The sequence below is a fragment of the Homo sapiens genome, chromosome 11 (genome assembly GCF_000001405.40).
Source record: "Homo sapiens chromosome 11, GRCh38.p14 Primary Assembly".
Classification (NCBI taxonomy): domain Eukaryota; kingdom Metazoa; phylum Chordata; class Mammalia; order Primates; family Hominidae; genus Homo; species Homo sapiens.
In genome coordinates this window covers 56,586,949-56,605,219 of record NC_000011.10, presented here as the reverse complement: position 1 = coordinate 56,605,219, position 18,271 = coordinate 56,586,949, and the positions used below count along the sequence as shown (strand labels likewise).

At 37.9% G+C, this 18,271-nt stretch overlaps 1 pseudogene, besides 2 other annotated features; it reads left to right on the top strand.

Annotated features, from left to right (window-relative positions):
* On the top strand, nucleotides 7,226-7,713 carry OR5M13P (olfactory receptor family 5 subfamily M member 13 pseudogene; annotated as a pseudogene).
* Nucleotides 12,424-12,923: an enhancer, noted in NCBI's record as "H3K4me1 hESC enhancer chr11:56359773-56360272 (GRCh37/hg19 assembly coordinates)". NCBI's record gives its function as "activates a minimal SCP1, AML or CMV promoter by ChIP-STARR-seq in primed H9 embryonic stem cells {active_cell/tissue: H9 hESC(primed)}" and the evidence as "EXISTENCE:reporter gene assay evidence [ECO:0000049][PMID:30033119]".
* Nucleotides 12,924-13,425: an enhancer, noted in NCBI's record as "H3K4me1 hESC enhancer chr11:56359271-56359772 (GRCh37/hg19 assembly coordinates)". NCBI's record gives its function as "activates a minimal SCP1, AML or CMV promoter by ChIP-STARR-seq in primed H9 embryonic stem cells {active_cell/tissue: H9 hESC(primed)}" and the evidence as "EXISTENCE:reporter gene assay evidence [ECO:0000049][PMID:30033119]".

The window sequence follows — 18,271 nt, the reverse complement described above, 5'->3', positions numbered from 1 at the left end:
GCACCAGATCTTGGAAGGAGAAAAGGGATTAAAGTCTGAATGTATTTCCTAAAGAAGAAGACCAACCAAAATAGGTTATTTAAATATTTGGCTATTCTAAGTCCAAAGCTACTCTTTAAAAGGAAGCCATATTTAACCACTCCATGTAATATGTAATTATGTCTTGACATACAGAACTAGGTAATGCAATAATTAAAGGTATTTGGTCACCATAATTTTTTTCTAAAAACGGAGAAATGTGCAAATTATTTACCTACCAGTTTACACAAACAGGCAAAGCAAAAACAAAAGCACTTGTCAAGGTGGACAAAAATGCTGCTACAGTTAAAAATCTGCATATACTCTTTACTTTGTCATTCTTAAAAATGTGTTTCTGGGTAGTTGGTTTACTGAAATAGGTGAAAGCTGTACTGTAATGTCATTTTTAAATTTTGTAACACTTTTTGTAACATTTTGTAACATTTGGTGAAGAAATTATGTTTCTTCACTTAAGGAGATAAATTGTGTTCATTATAGAACTTTGAAAGTGAACGACCAAACCAAATGTGCAAAAATTGACTGAATATGAATTACTTTACACTTATGTGTGAAAATAATCTTCAACATTATGTATTCCATACACATGTTTTTGGTGTTTTAAATTATCTCCGGGCTTTCCTAAATTCAAGTTGGAGAAGCAGAATTAGTTAGATTTATAGCACACTCACTATAGAAAACATATTTTGAAAACTTGTTTTACCACATCTCTGCTCAGCTGGATGGGGCTCCTGTGAAAGAACAAAGCAATTACATAGAATTTTACACAGAATTGTAAAACCTGCAAATTTTTTTTAACATTTTCTTTACCTTATCTGATAGCACAGCACATACGTTGCAACTCTTACTCTGAAAACTACTATCACTTCTGAATGTTTATTAAATAACAGCCATAGGTGTGCAAAGGATTTACAAATGGATAGCCACATTTACTGCCAATGAAAAACAAAGTTTATTTAACATGTGCAGTATCTTTGTGATATATATATTACTCCTTATTTGGTACAGATGAAAACGCTGAAGCTCGGAAGAATGAAATAATGTTTTCCAGGAACACAGCAAGAGCTAGGTTTCAATTAAAATATTATTCTCGTAGCTACTTCTGGGTTGACTCTAGAAACACCCCAAGCCACATGGGTTTGTTAAGATGTTTAACTGGGTAATTATTTTTATGGGTAATTATGTTTCAGACAGTTTTACAATTTTACAGATATAAAAATATATATGAAAAAGATATATATATGTTGTAATGCATATATATATATTCATATTTCATATGAAGAAGGCACAAGAGGAACACTCAGTGCCTAGGTAAAAAGAATGGAGTTGGATAGTAGGTTAATAGTGGTTGATGAGATAAGAAGTAGTCATGGTCATGACTTACTTTCCTGGTGTCATGCAATTTCTATTGACAGCATTTCTTCAAAGTTGTAATTTTTATTGAGAATAAATTAATAAAACTCTGTAAGATTTTAAGATAAAAGATCTCCCAATATTTTCAAAGCATCATTACAACCTTCTTTAAAGTTTCTAGCAATTGTATCAATTTCTTTATTCTTATTTTCATTGTAGAAAAAAATTGATTTTTGAGATATTTTAAAAGTCATAGAGAAAATATTTGGCCATGGAAAGGGTCCAAAATGGGAGGAGGAAATTAAAAAGGACTGAGATTTCTGAAACACATACATTGTTCCAAGGGAGTACCAAGCATGCTACAAAGGAGGCAGAGGATTGAATGACTGAAGAAAAGATTTTGAAGGACACTTTGAGGTGTTCTTCCTACACCTTCCATCATCCTATCTCAGGAGGGTGAATGGATTGGAGAGATTATAAAAAGAGTTATTGTGATGGCCTTGATGTTAGTCCAAAACATCCTTTTCTAGTCTATGTGATTGATAAGGATGCTGAAGCTGTTCATGGCTGTGGAAAGGGAAGGGGAGAGGAGAGTTATCCCATTGCTGTACTGTATCTGAGTGACTTCACCTCAGAGGAAAGGAACAGAGAAGCATCTCTAAACCACATTCTCAAATCCAAATTCACCAGCAATAATGCTAGTAATTTTCATATCTGACTCCCATGTGTAGACTCTAATTGAGTCAGGATCCAAAAGGAGGGCAATTCAATGGCTCCTTTAAGTTCTAACATGATGAATGTAGAAGTATTCCAAATTTTTAGCTAAAATAATATTTATCATAATAGTTATTATTACTGCTACTAACTCACTGCAAGACTTACGGAATAACTACTATATGATGCTCTGGCCAGGATCTGAGATGTCCACAATTCTACTCATATGTTTTAGCTAAAGAGAATTTAATGAAAAGACAGAGAATAAAAAGGTAAAGTTAAAGGAATCAGCCAAAGGGGTTAAAAAAGTCAAGGCTAACTGTAGAAAACCATTTCCATCTTTAGGTCTGAAGGACCAAGGACAGTGGCTTCTGTCACAGAGCTCAGTGAGAGCTGAAGCCAGGAAGAAATCCCTTGCCAACATCTTCCCAAGACACACATCCCAAGACATTCTCCAGGGAGGGATGCAGCCAATTTAGCACACTTATAATGAAGCAGGAAGGGAATGAGAAAGAAATTGAGGTAATTCCCTATCTTTCCCACTTCTGACATCCTAGAGAGTCTTCTCAAAAGCCAAGGTCAGCTGGAAACCAGACACCATAGGTGCCCTGTTGACCAGGTCCATAGGAGCCCAACTCCAGGTGAACAATGCAAGGCACAGAAGAGAAGACAATAGATGTGAATGGGAGTAGGGTGGAAAAGGAGAATCACCAGCACACCTATATTATCTATAAATCCAAAATGTTCCACACTTACACATTACTATCCCTATTAAAAAGATAAATGTACAAAACTCAAAATTGATATATCACTAGTTCAAGTTCAACAAAAGTTAGTTTATCTTCCAATGGTGTTCCAGACTCTGAAACCTTCTCCCGATACCATCCACTATACTTGCTGTAAGCAGGAACTTAATATTTCCCAAAGTCTAACATATTAAATTATTTGGGAGTAAAGTAAAATAAATAATGAATCCCATTCCTACATCACTCTTGGGGGATGCGATTCCCTGAAGACAGTGTGGAGTTGGCAAAACTCATGTGCTCCGTGAGCTTAGGATTTTCAGAAGAATCGAAATATTGTGGTTGTTCATAATTTGAATGACTTTTTGCTAGAAATAATTGACCTGCAGGGATTTGGTCTCCACACAGTAATTGCATTATAAACTCTACAGGTTCTCAATACCCATTCTGTAATCATGAAATCATGCTTCTTTCTCAGGTAGGATTAGATATATTTTTTAAAAAGTTTAAAATCCGGCAGTAAATATTTTAATTGATAGAAATAAATGGAGCTGAAACATATTCTGATGAATTAGAAAATGTTTATATTAAAGTGTTGCTATTCTTTTCAGAGTACTGGTGTTTACAGAGTGTTTGCATAATGAAAAGAAAATAGGCCAAAAGAATTTTTATTTCATCAATAATTATTGACTGCCTCCAATTCAGGAGGCACAAATCTAGGTGCTGCTGAGTCTATAACTAGATCAGATAAAAATCCTTGACCCTAAAGGAGCTCATGCTTTGATGTTGAGTTTCGTTCTAGACTAGACCTGGATCATTCACCAAATAATACTAGTAGCCTCAATTTGTTAAGCATGTAGTACATGACAGATATATTTTAAAAACTTTTACTGAATTAACTTTCTCATCAAGAGAGAATGGCTATTAATCAAATTTTATGGATAAGAAAACTGAGGCACACAGAAATTAATAACTTGCCCCAGGCCACACAGGTAGGAACTAGAGGCACTGGGTTTTTCACCCAGGAAGTGTGACTGCAAACTCCCAGTAACTGTCCCACTCTGCTGGCTTTCAATAGTAAACTATGCTTACTGTTTATACTTGATTTAGAACAATCAAGATCTGGTATTAAATCATCCTTCTGATTCATTTTGTGTTAACAATGCCACTCTTTACTATTATAAGAGCTGTATCATGTAATATTTTATAGCCCTTTCATAAAGAATGGGCTACTTTTAGGTTTATAGCCTATATTACTTAAAAATAATAAAAATATGTTTTGTGAAGCTGCCTTCTCTAGATTTCTTTTTCCACTCCAAATTGAACCATGACCACTTTCCAAGGAGACACCACTCTTGTTAAAGACAAAGACCAACCTTCTAGACTCTTTGTAGGACAGAATAGAAGAAGCAAGCATTCACATGGGAATGTCTCAGTGTAGGGTGCATGTCAGGAGAGCACAGGCTCAGATGCCTCCAAAGCCATTTCTGTCCAATTGCAGAAGCTTCTCCCTGAGATTTCCTTGCTCAAAGCAGTAGGATATTGTGTTCTTGTTTTTTCAGAAGAAAGACTATTTCCACAAAATTCTCAGTTAAATTATTTGGACTATTTATTGCTTGCATTACTTCAACTTCCAATAGAAAAAAAAAAAGACTCATAAAAAAACAGATGAATTGAGAAGTTATTTTGAAGGGTGATTAATATTTCAATAAAAAAGCCCATTAAAAATGTAATTAGGCGGGGCACGGTGGCTCCCGCCTGTTATCCCAGTACTTTGGGAGGCTGAAGCGGGTGGATTGCCTGAGGACAGGAGTTCAAGACCAGCTTGGCCAACATAGTGAAACCCCGTTTCTACTAAAAATACAAAAAAATTAGCTGAACGTGGTGGTGGGCACCTGTAATCCCAGCTACTCGGGAGGTTGAGGCAGCAGTATTGCTTGAACCTGGGAGACAGAGGTTGCAGTGAGCTGAGATTGCACCATTGCACTCCAGCCTGGGCGACAAGAGTGAAACTCCGCCACACACACACACACAAATGAAATCCAGCACCAAAACAGTATTTGCCTATTTGGCAATTAAATGTACCATCAAACAGAGGGATAGAGAATGTGGTATATTATATATATATCATACATTATAATGTGATATAATATATAATACACCACAGTTTCTTTATCCACTTGTTGTTTGATGGATATATACATATATATTATATGTAATATATATACAAAATGTATATGATGGAATACTACTCAGCCATAAAAAGGGATGAAGTAATGGCATTCACAGCAACTTGGATGGGATTGGAGACTAATATTCTAAGTGAAGTAATTCAGAAATAAAATACCAAATATAGTGTGTTCTCACTCATAAGTGGAAACTAAGCTGTCAGGATGCAAAGGCATAAGAATGACACAAAGGACTTCGGGGACTTGGGGGAAACGGTGGAGGAGGTGAGGGATAAAAGGCTACACATTGGGTTCATTGTATACTGTTTGGATGATGGGTGCACCAAAATCTCACAAATCACCACTAAAGAACTTACTCATGTAACCAAATACCACCTTTTCCCCCAAAACCTATGGAAATAAAAAATAAAAATAAAAACCAAAAGAAATTCAATTGGACCCTGTGAGCTTTAACAAGGTAATTATGATTCTATTGATTTAGGTGACTTATCTTCTAACTTATTACCCTAGGCAGAAGCCCAATGTCCTTTTGTGTAGAATGAGATAATACGGTGGACAAGTTTTGAACATTGAATTTACAGAGTGCTTTATTTATGAAGTGACCTGTTTCCAGTGTTGGCATGGTAGTTATTAAAAAAAAGTTAGTATAACATTGTCAAGTCTGGATATGTGTCATAGAAGAAACACGTCGATTGTTCCATCATGATCTTCATGGTCACTTTTATCTTGCCCAAATGTTGAGAGATTCAGGTCAGGATATTTTAAGTATGGTCTCAGTCATGTTGTTAATATGATTATGATTTCACTTTGATCTGTTACATGTTTTAACAAATTCATATTGAACTTGTGTTCCAATGTTTTTTCTTAGTTTTTCAAGTGTTAGAATGAGGTAGAGTTAAAACAACAGCATTTTAGTTTGAGGATAAGTTTCTTCATCATTTTATCCTTATTGCCCCCCTCCCCAGGAGCCCTTTGATACACTATTGTTTTCTTTATATCCCTATCAACATTTAATACCATCAATACAGGTGCACTTGTGTATCTATATACCATGCAAATGTATATGGTTTATGTATTATGTGCATATGTATTATAAATACAAATATGTAATATCTACTTTCATTCCCCAAGAACCAATTTTTGCCCCCTTGGACAAAAATATACAAAATGAAGAAATGTAGCTTGGTCTTTAAAGTTAAAAAAGATTTGTTGATAAGAGGGCCAGCTGAGGTAGAATAAAGTGAAGAAAATGGGCACACATTAGAGGGTGAGGGAAGATCTGGAAAATGATCTCCAGTTCACAGGGGCAGGCAAAGCGATTCTTGTTCTACAGGGATGTATACCAGGCATCAGTCCCACTTTCCTAAGCACGTTCAGTTGTGATAAACCTGGAGGGTTTCAAAGGCTGATACTTTAGATCCCACATTCAAAGGTGTGTTGTTAAACAAAGAATTACAGTTTCAAAGAAAAGCAATGTTTACAACCATGGGTTCAAGAAAAGTCTAAGTGAACACATATAACAAAGACTTGCAAAAAGATAAAAGATAAGGCTCTTTAACTATCAAAAGACTTGCAGAAAAGAACCACAGAAAACCATTTTAAATATTATTGCCTTTGTATATTAAAAAACTCTATATTAGTTTAGATGTTTAAAGCATCAATCACATGCTCACTAGGCTATTTCTTAATGTCACATGTATTTACATTTTGAGAGAAGAGGAAGAAATAGCAGATGACACCACTGGGGTAATGCATAAATGACAAACCTAAATGCATTTTAATTTCCTTTTATTTAGATGTCATTTGAAGCCAAGCAAACACAATGTTAAAGAAAAACCATACAGCCGTGACTGAGTTTGTTCTCCTGGGACTGACAGATCGGGCTGAGCTGCAGTCCCTTCTTTTTGTGGTATTTCTAGTCATCTACCTTATCACAGTAATCGGCAATGTGAGCATGATCTTGTTAATCAGAAGTGACTCGACACTACACACTCCAATGTACTTCTTCCTCAGTCACCTCTCCTTTGTAGATCTCTGTTATACCACCAATGTTACTCCTCAGATGCTGGTTAACTTTTTATCCAAGAGAAAAACCATTTCCTTCATCGGCTGCTTTATCCAATTTCACTTTTTCATTGCACTGGTGATTACAGATTATTATATGCTCACAGTGATGGCTTATGACCGCTACATGGCCATCTGCAAGCCCTTGTTATATGGAAGCAAAATGACCAGGTGTGTCTGCCTCTGTCTCGCTGCTGCTCCCTATATTTATGGCTTTGCAAATGGTCTAAGCACAGACCACCCTGATGCTTCGTCTGTCCTTCTGTGGACCCAATGACATCAACCACTTTTACTGTGCGGACCCACCCCTCTTAGTCCTCGCCTGCTCAGATACTTATGTCAAAGAGACCGCCATGTTGGTGGTGGCTGGTTCCAACCTCATTTGCTCTCTCACCGTCATCCTCATTTCCTACACTTTCATCTTCACTGCCATTCTGCGTATCCACACTGCTGAGGGGAGGCGCAAGGCCTTCTCCACCTGCGGGTCTCATGTGACCGCTGTCACTGTCTTCTATGGGACACTGTTCTGCATGTACCTGAGGCCCCCTTCTGAGACATCTATACAACAGGGGAAAATTGTAGCTGTTTTTTATATCTTTGTGAGTCCGATGTTAAACCCATTGATCTACAGCCTGAGGAATAAAGACGTTAAAAGAAGTATAAGGAAAGTTATTCAAAAGAAACTGTTTGCTAAGTAAGGTAGATATTTTGGTCATAGGTGTTGGAATCTGTTCTTATTATCTGACCAATTAATGAACATTTAAAATTAACAAATCAATCTGTCATTGAGTGTTTTTTGTCCTTTGTAATTTGCATATGGGACTTAAAAGTGTATGTCAAATTATTAGCTAGAGCTTACACTGCCACCTCAGTAAATTGAAAATGAAAGCATAGAAATTCAAATATAAGACTAGAAGACATTGTTCTAGCTCTGTAAAAAGTAATGAAGTACAGATGATTCCATTATTAGTACTCATAGTACTAATATATCATAGTACTATATCATAGTACTAATATATCATAATACTATATCATAGTACTGTATCATAGTACTAATATATCATAGTACTGTATCATAGTACTAATATATCATAGTACTGTATCATAGTACTATATATCATAGTACTATATATCATAGTACTATATATCATAGTACTATATATCATACTAAAATATCATAAAAGACAGAATTATCAATTGCTGAGAAAATGACAGCTCATTACATTTTTTTAAATGTTTTTGTTTGTCCCTTTGAATGAATGGAGGATATCTACCTAACTTCTATGTATTCAGAATCTCACATGAGGCAGCACATTTAGCACACTTGTTTAGTTGTAATCTTCTATGCTTATCTTCGTGAGTCTGTTTGAAAAGTTGGATAAATGGCAATGAGTGACTACATTTGCTAATTACATTTTATAATACTTAATAAGCCTCCAAGCTATTTTCCAGAAACTTGCCAACCATAGTAGATGAGGTTTCTGTTTTTCTTTTATACATATTATATAGAAATGAAGATCCTTTAGGTGTACTTTGGATTATTACTTTAAGTTATATCCTTAGAATGATATCATAGATCCAATGAAACCCTATTTCATAAGGCTTTTCATGGAAATGCCAAATTTCCTTTAGAAAGAGTTTTTAATTGTTTGTATGTTGTACCAGTAAGGATTCCCATCAACATGTGAACTCAATTCTTCACTCTTTTATTACCATTGCCTGTTTCCTTTGAATAAATAAATTGAATTGAATGTTTTATCCACGAATGCATGTGGATATTTGTGTGTTTTATGTGTGTATGTAGGTGTGTGTGTGTATTTTGATTACAATATAACATTTTCTTTTTTTTAATTGCTTATTCAAATTTTTTTGGTGAGAATCAAGGTCGTATGCCTTTTTTTTTTTTTTTTTTTTGACAGAGTATTGCTCTGTTGCTCAGGCTGGAGTACAGTGGCGCGATCTCGGCTCACTGAAAGCTCCGCCTCCCGGGTTCACGCCATTCTCCTGCCTCAGCCTCCCGAGTAGCTGGGACTACAGGCGCCCGCCACCACGCCCGGCTAATTTTTTGTATTTTTAGTAGAGACGGGGTTTCACCGTGTTAGCCAGGATGGTCTTGATCTCCTGACCTCGTGATCCGCCCGCCTCGGCCTCCCAAAGTGCTGGGATTACAGGCATGAGCCACCGCGCCCAGCTGCTTCACCTGTTTTTAAATTGTGGTGTTTATATGTTTTCTTATTTATTTCAGATATTTCTCAATGATATAAACATGTTTTTGTTATATATACAGGTGTAGCAATTGTATATATATACACATGAATTCCATTTTATCTCTTCTATTGTATCTTTTCCAAAGTTAATATTTTATCATTTTAAATTTTCTCAATTTTTTTTATTTCACTTTATTGTGTCTTTTTTTACTTTTAGGAAGTTAAGTTTATGCCACCTATGATCATGTGGATTTTTACATATATTATTAAATTATTTTCATGGTTTCGCTTGTTAATTTTTTCTTATGAACTATTTTTAATATACATCTAAAATAGAAAATAATATAAAGACTCCTTTGTAAGCACAACTAATCACTATTAAATCTTCACAGAATGCCCCATTTGTTTCAGTTATTTCAGAAATTTAAAACTTACAAAGATACATCTCTCCTGACTGATTCTGTCTCTTGTCCCATTTCTTGCTGTAAACTCTATTACAAATTTAATGTTTCTTATCCTTCTGTAGAGTTACATCATTGGATAGGTGTTTATATATTCATAGAAATATGTAGTACTGATTTGCTACATTTAGAACTTGAAATAAATGCATCCACTCTATGTATCTTTCTGCAATTTATTTATCTTGCACTAAATATTGTTGGATGTATCTGTGGTGAATCATGCAGCAGCAATTTTTAGTGGTATAGTCTATGCCAATATATAAATATGCCTCAATATGTGTATTTATTCTACGATTTTTTTTTTTTTTGAGACAGAGTCTCACTCTTGTTGCCCAGGCTGGGGTGCAATGGCACGATCTCGGCTCACCGCAAACTCCGCCCCCCAGGGTCAAGCGATTCTCCTGTCTAGCCTCCTAGTAGCTGGGATTACAGGTGCCCACCACCATGCCAGGCTAATTTTGTATTTTTAATAGAGACGGGATTTCACCATGTTAGCCAGGATGGTCTTGATCACCTGACCTTGTGATCCTCCCGCCTCAGCCTCCCAAATTGTATTTTATTTCTACTGTTGGTGAAGAGTTACATTTTCCAGTTTCTTGATAATATGAAAATCCATTAATAAATGTTTTGTGTGTAATTATGAATGTGTACCACGTAAGGAGTTCCTCTCAGGTAGGTTGGTAATTTCTTGGTCATAAGATATAAGTATCTTTAAATTTACTATATATTGCCAATTGTTTTACTGATTTATATTTCTATCAACAGTTTGTGAGTGTTACCTTTACATCACTTTATTCTTGCCAAAACTAGGTGTTGTCAGACTTTAAATGTTTTCTAATCTGATGGGTAAACAATGAATTCTCATTTGGTGTTTAAGGTTGAATTGTTATTACAAGTGAAACTAAGTATTTTTAAGTATATTGATGCTAATCTCATATTTCTCTTTCACTTATATGTCCATATACTTTGTTAACTTTTCAGGTAGGGTGATTTGTCTTTATTTCATACATTTATAATAGTTCCTTATGTACCAAATGCTACATACAAATCTTTTGGTGTTATATGCCATTTAACCTTAAAAACCTAGGGTAATAATGCCAGGCAGTGTGGCTCACACATGTAATCCCAGTACTTTGGGAGGCTGAGGCAGGAGGATTGCTTGAGCCCAGGAGTTTTAGGCCAAACTACACAAGATAGAGACTCTGTCTTTACAAAAAAATAAAAAAAAATTAGCCAGTTGTGGTGGGATGCCCTTGTGGTCCCAGCTACATGGGAAGCTGAGGCAGGAGGATCACTTGAGCCTGGGAGGTAGAGGCTTCAGTGAACCATGTTGTCACCACGACACTCCAGTCTGGATGACAGAGGATGGATGACAGAGCCTGGATGACTCCAGCCTGGATGACCCTGTCTCAATAAAACAAAACAAACCCCAAAAAACCTAGGGTGAGATGAACAGATGAACGTTATTTCTTGAATGCCTCAGCAAATAGCCATAGGTATCTATTTTTCTGGTAGCTGCAATTTGATTGGGACAAGTTGGGAATTTCAGCTCATTTGACAAGTATTTTCATAATAGATATTTTCCCAGTAGGATTGGATTTTTTTTTTTCCACATAGTGAATGCTTATATGTGAGCATAAAATGTTTCCCACAGATTGGGATTGGATAAATTATATGAAGTGTGATCCTAGTATATTGCTTTGCCATTGAAATACTGGTTATTACCCAAATAGAAAATTAACATTTAAAAGAGCCAACAGGCTGGGCAAAGTGGCTTAGGCCTGTAATCCCAGCCTTTTGGGAGGCCAAGGCCCACAGATCACTTGAGTTCAGGAGTTCGAGACTAACCTGGGCAACATGAGGAAACCCTGTCTCTAAAAAAACCACAAAAATTAGTTAGGTCTGGTGGCAAGTGTCTGTAGTCCAAGCTACTCAGGAGGCTGATGTGGGAGGATGGCTTCAGCCTGGGAGGCAAAGGTTGCAGTGAGCTGAGATCATGCCAGTGCACTCCAGCCTGGGTAACAGAGTAAGATCCTGTCTTAAAAAAATAATAAAATAGGCCAGGTGCAGTAGTTCATGCCTGTAATCCCAGCACTTTGGGAGGCCGAGGCAGGTGAATCACAAGGTCAGGAGTTCGAGACCAGCCTGGCCAAGATGGCGAAACCCCGTCTCTACTAAAAATACAAAAATTAGCCAGGTGCAGTGGTGGGTGCCTGTAATTCCAGCTACTTGGGAGGCTGAGGCAGGAGAATCGCTTGAACCCGGGGGGCAGAGGTTGCCATGAGCCAAGATCGTGCCACTGTACTCTAGCCTTGGTGACAGAGCCAGACTCCAACTCAAAAATAAATAAATAAATAAATAAAATAATAAAATATAATATAATAAGAATGCCAACAGAATAATTCTGATTTCAGCTACAGTTTATGCTTTTTTATGAGAAATTCAACTCCAATCTTTTAATTTTATTCTCCTTTATTCTGTTGTTCAGACATTGCATATTAAAAAGGCATTTTTTTTCTTAACCAATAGTTTTATCCTTATTGCTGTCCTTATTCTGGAGAGAACTTCATATTTCAAGGCACAGCCCAAATATCAACTCCCTTGTCCTTTCATGAGCAAACAGTTGCACATACCCATTCCTGTGATTGTGTAGATATTGCAACTCTATTTGTCTGTTAGTCACACAGAAAATTCATAATAATACAATGCCATGTTTCCTAATATATTCTGAGAGTTCTGTGAGAAATGAAACCTATTGTATCGGTTAAGTACTGAAGATGGCCGAATAGGAACAGCTCCAGTCTACAGCTCCCAGCGTGAGCGACGCAGAAGATGGGTGATTTCTGCATTTCCATCTGAGGTACCGGGTTCATCTCACTAGGGAGTGGCAGACAGTGGGCCCAGGTCAGTGGGTGCGCGCACCCTGCGCGAGCCGAAGCAGGGTGAGGCATTGCCTCACTCTGGAAGCACAAGGGGTCAGGGAGTTCCCTTTCCTAGTCAAAGAAAGGGGTGACAGATGGCACCTGGAAAATCGGGTCACTCCCACCCCAATACTGTGCTTTTCCGACGGGCTTAAAAAATGGCACACCAGGAGATTATATCCCGCACCTGGCTCAGAGAGTCCTATGCCCACGGAGTCTCACTGATTGCTAGCACAGCAGTCTGAGATCAAACTGCAAGGCGGCAGCGAGGCTGGGGGAGGGGTGCCCACCATTGCCCAGGCATGCTTAGGTAAACAAAGCAGCCAGGAAGCTCGAACTGGGTGGAGCCCACCACAGCTCAAGGAGGCCTGCCTGCCTCTGTAGGCTCCACCTCTGGGGGCAGGACAGAGACAAACAAAAGACAGCAGTAACCTCTGCGGACTTAAATGTCCCTGACAGCTTTGAAGAGAGCAGTGGTTCTCCCAGCACGCAGCTGGAGATCTGAGAAAGGGCAGACTTCCTCCTCAAGTGGGTCCCTGACCCCTGACCCCCGAGCAGCATAACTGGGAGGCACCCCCCAGCTTGGGCAGACTGACACCTCACACGGCCGGGTACTCCAACAGACCTGCAGCTAAGGGTCCTGTCTGTTAGAAGGAAAACTAACAAACAGAAAGGACATCCACACCGAAAACCCATCTGTACATCACCATCATCAAAGACCAAAAGCAGATAAAACCACAAAGATAGGGAAAAAACAGAGCAGAAAAACTGGAAACTCTAAAAAGCAGAGCACCTCTCCTCCTCCAAAGGAAAGCAGTTCCTCACCAGCAACGGAACAAAGCTGGATGGAGAACGACTTTGACGAGATGAGAGAAGAAGGCTTCAGATGATCAAATTACTCCAAGCTACGGGAGGTCATTCAAACCAAAGGCAAAGAAGTTGAAAACTTTGAAAAAAATTTAGAAGAATGTATAACTAGAATAACAAATAGAGAGAAGTGCTTAAAGGAGCTGATGGAGCTGAAAACCAAGGCTCGAGAACTACGTGAAGAATGAAGAAGCCTCAGGAGCCGATGCGATCAACTGGAAGAAAGGGTATCAGCAATGGAAGATGAATTGAATGAAATGAAGCAAGAAGGGAAGTTTAGAGAAAAAAGAATAAAAAGAAATGAGCAAAGCCTCCAAGAAATATGGGACTATGTGAAAAGACCAAATCTATGTCTGATTGGTGTACCTGAAAGTGACAGGGAGAATGGAACCAAGTTGGAAAACACTCTGCAGGATATTATCCAAGAGAACTTCCCCAATCTAGCAAGGCAGGCCAACATCCAGATTCAGGAAATACAGAGCACACCACAAAGATACTCCTCGAGAAGAGCAACTCCAAGACACATAATTGTCAGATACACCAAAGATGAAATGAAGGAAAAAATGTTAAGGGCAGCCAGAGAGAAAGGTCGGGTTACCTTCAAAGGGAAGCCCATCAGACTAACAGCGGATCTCTCAGCAGAAACTCTACAAGCTAGAAGAGAGTGGGGGCCAATATTCAACATTATTAAAGAAAAGAATTTTCAACCCAGAATTTCATATCCAGCCAAACTAAGCTTCATAAGTGAAGGAGAAATAAAATACTTTACAGACAACCAAATGCTGAGAGATTTTGTAACCACCAGGCCTACCCTAAAAGAGCTCCTGAAGGAAGCACTAAACATGGAAAGGAACAACCGGTACCAGCCGCTGCAAAATCATGCCAAAATGTAAAGACCATCAAGACTAGGAAGAAACTGCATCAACTAACGAGCAAAATAACCAGTTAACATCATAATTACAGGATGAAATTCACACATAACAATATTAACTTTAAACACAAATGGACTAAATGCTCCAATTAAAAGACACAGACTGGCAAATTGGATAAAGAGTCAAGACCCATCAGTGTACTGTATTCAGGAAACCCATCTCACGTGCAGAGACACACATAGGCTCAAAATAAAAGGATGGAGGAAGATCTACCAAGCAAATGGAAAACAAAAAAAGGAAGGGGTTGCAATCCTAGTCTCTGATAAAACAGACTTTAAAACAACAAAGATCAAAAGAGACAAAGAAGGCCATTACATAATGGTAAAGGGATCAATTCAACAAGAAGAGCTAACTATCCTAAATACATATGCACCCAATACAGGAGCACCCAGATTCATAAAGCAAGTCCTGAGTGACCTACAAAGAGACTTAGACTCCCACACATTAATAATGGGAGACTTTAACACCCCACTGTCAACATTAGACAGATCAACGAGACAGAAAGTCAACAAGGATACCCAGGAATTGAACTCAGCTCTGCACCAAGCATACCTAATAGACATCTACAGAACTCTCCACCCCAAATCAACAGAATATACATTTTTTTCAGCACCACACCACACCTGCTCCAAAATTGACCACATACTTGGAAGTAAAGCTCTTCTCAGCAAATGTAAAAGAACAGAAATTATAACAAACTATCTCTCAGACCACAGTGCAATCAAACTAGAACTCAGGATTAAGAATCTCACTCAAAACCACTCAACTACATGGAAACTGAACAACCTACTCCTGAATGACTACTGGGTACATAACGAAATGAAGGCAGAAATAAAGATGTTCTTTGAAACCAACGAGAACAAAGACACAACATACCAGAATCTCTGGGACACATTCAAAGCAGTGTGTAGAGGGAAATTTATAGCACTGAATGCCCACAAGAGAAAGCAGGAAAGATCCAAAATTGACACCCTAACATCACAATTAAAAGAACTAGAAAAGCAAGAGCAAACACATTCAAAAGCTAGCAGAAGGCAAGAAATAACTGAAATCAGAGCAGAACTGAAGGAAATGGAGACACAAAAAACCCTTCAAAAAATTAATGAATCCAGGAGCTGGTTTTTTGAAAGGATCAACAAAATTGATAAACCGCTAGCAAGACTAATAAAGAAAAAAAGAGAGAAGAATCAAATAGAGGCAATAAAAAATGATAAAGGGGATATCACCACCGATCCCACAGAAATACAAACTACCATCAGAGGATACTACAAACACCTCTATGCAAATAGACTAGAAAATCTAGAAGAAATGGATAAATTCCTCAACACATACACTCTCCCAAACTAAACCAGGAAGAAGTTGAATCTCTGAATAGACCAATAACAGGATCTGAAATTGTGGCAATAATCAATAGCTTACCAACGAAAAAGAGTTCAGGACCAGATGGATTCACAGCCGAATTCTACCAGAGGTACAAGGAGGAACTGGTACCATTCCTTCTGAAACTATTCCAATCAATAGAAAAAGAGGGAATCCTCCCTAATTCATTTTATGAGGCCAGCATCATCCCGATACCAAAGCCTGGCAGAGACACAACCAAAAAAGAGAATTTTAGACCAATATCCTTGATGAACATTGATGCAAAAATCCTCAGTAAAATACTGGCAAACCGAATCCAGCAGCACATCAAAAAGCTTATCCACCATGATCAAGTGGACTTTATCCCTGGGATGCAAGGCTGGTTCAATATATGCAAATCAATAAATGTAATCCAGCATATAAACAGAACCAAAGACAAAAACCACATGATTATCTCAATAGATGCAGAAAAGGCCTTTGACAAAATTCAACAACACTTCATGCTAAAAACTCTCAATAAATTAGGTATTGATGGGACGTATTTCAAAATAATAAGAGCTATCTATGACAAACCCACAGCCAATATCATACTGAATGGGCAAAAACTGGAAGCATTCCCTTTGAAAACTGGCACAAGGCAGGGATGCCCTCTCTCACCACTCCTATTCAATATAGTGTTGGAAGTTCTGGCCAGGGCAATTAGGCAGGAGAAGGAAATAAAGGGTATTCAATTAGGAAAAGAGGAAGTCAAATTGTCCCTGTTTGCAGATGACATGATTGTATATCTAGAAAACCCCATCATCTCAGCCCCAAATCTCCTTAAGCTGATAAGCAACTTCAGCAAAGTCTCAGAATACAAAATCAATGTGCAAAAATCACAAGCATTCTTATACACCAACAACAGACAAACAGAGAGCCAAATCATGAGTGAAATCCCATTCACAGTTGCTTCAAAGAGAATAAAATACCTAGGAATCCAACTTACAAGGGATGTGAAGGACCTCTTCAAGGAGAACTACAAACCACTGCTCAAGGAAATAAAAGAGGATACAAACAAATGGAAGAACATTCCATGCTCATGGGTAGGAAGAATTAATATCTTGAAAATGTCCATACTGCCCAAGGTAATTTACAGATTCAATGCCATCCCCATCAAGCTACCAAGGGCTTTCTTCACAGAATTGGAAAAAACTACTTTAAAGTTCATATGGAACCGAAAAAGAGCCCGCATCGCCAAGTCAATCCTAAGCCAAAAGAACAAAGCTGGAGGCATCACACTACCTGACTTCAAACTATACTACAAGGCTACAGTAACCAAAACAGCATGGTACTGGTAGCAAAACAGAGATATAGATGAATGGAACAGAACAGAGCCCTTAGAAATAACGCCGCATATCTACAACTATCTGATCTTTGACAAACCTGAGGAAAACAAGCAATGGGGAAAGGATTCCCTATTTAATAAATGGTGCAGGGAAAACTGGCTAGCCATATGTAGAAAGCTGAAACTGGATCCCTTCCTTACACCTTATACAAAAATCAATTCAAGATGGATTAAAGACTTAAATGTTAGACCTAAAACCATAAAAACCCTAGAAGAAAACCTAGGCATTACCATTCAGGACATAGGCATGGGCAAGGACTTTATGTCTAAAACACCAAAAGCAATGGCAACAAAAGCCAAAATTGACAAATGGGATCTAATTAAACTAAAGAGCTTCTGCACAGCAAAAGAAACTACCATCAGAGTGAACAGGCAACCTACAAAATGGGAGAAAATTTTCACAACCTACTCATCTGACAAAGGGTTAATATCCAGAATCTACAATGAACTCAAACAAATTTACAAGAAAAAAACAAACAACCCTGTCAAAAAGTGGGTGAAGGACATGAACAGACACTTCTCAAAAGAAGACATTTATGCAGCCAAAAGACACATGAAAAAATGCTCATCATCACTGGCCATCTGAGAAATGCAAATCAAAAGCACAATGAGATACCATCTCACACCAGCTAGAATGGCAATCATTAAAAAGTCAGGAAACTACAGGTGCTGGAGAGGATGTGGAGAAATAGGAACACTTTTACACTGTTGGTGGGACTGTAAACTAGTTCAACCATTGTGGAAGTCAGTGTGGCGATTCCTCAGGGATCTAGAACTAGAAAAACCATTTGACCCAGCCATCCCATTACTGGGTATATACCCAAAGGACTATAAATCATGCTGCTATAAAGACACATGCACACGTATGTTTATTGCGGCATTATTCACAATAGCAAAGACTTGGAACCAACGGAAATGTCCAACAATGATAGACTGGATTAAGAAAATGTGGCACATATACACCATGGAATACTATGCAGCCATAAAAAATGATGAGTTCATGTCCTTTGTAGGGATATGGATGAAATTGGAAATCATCAT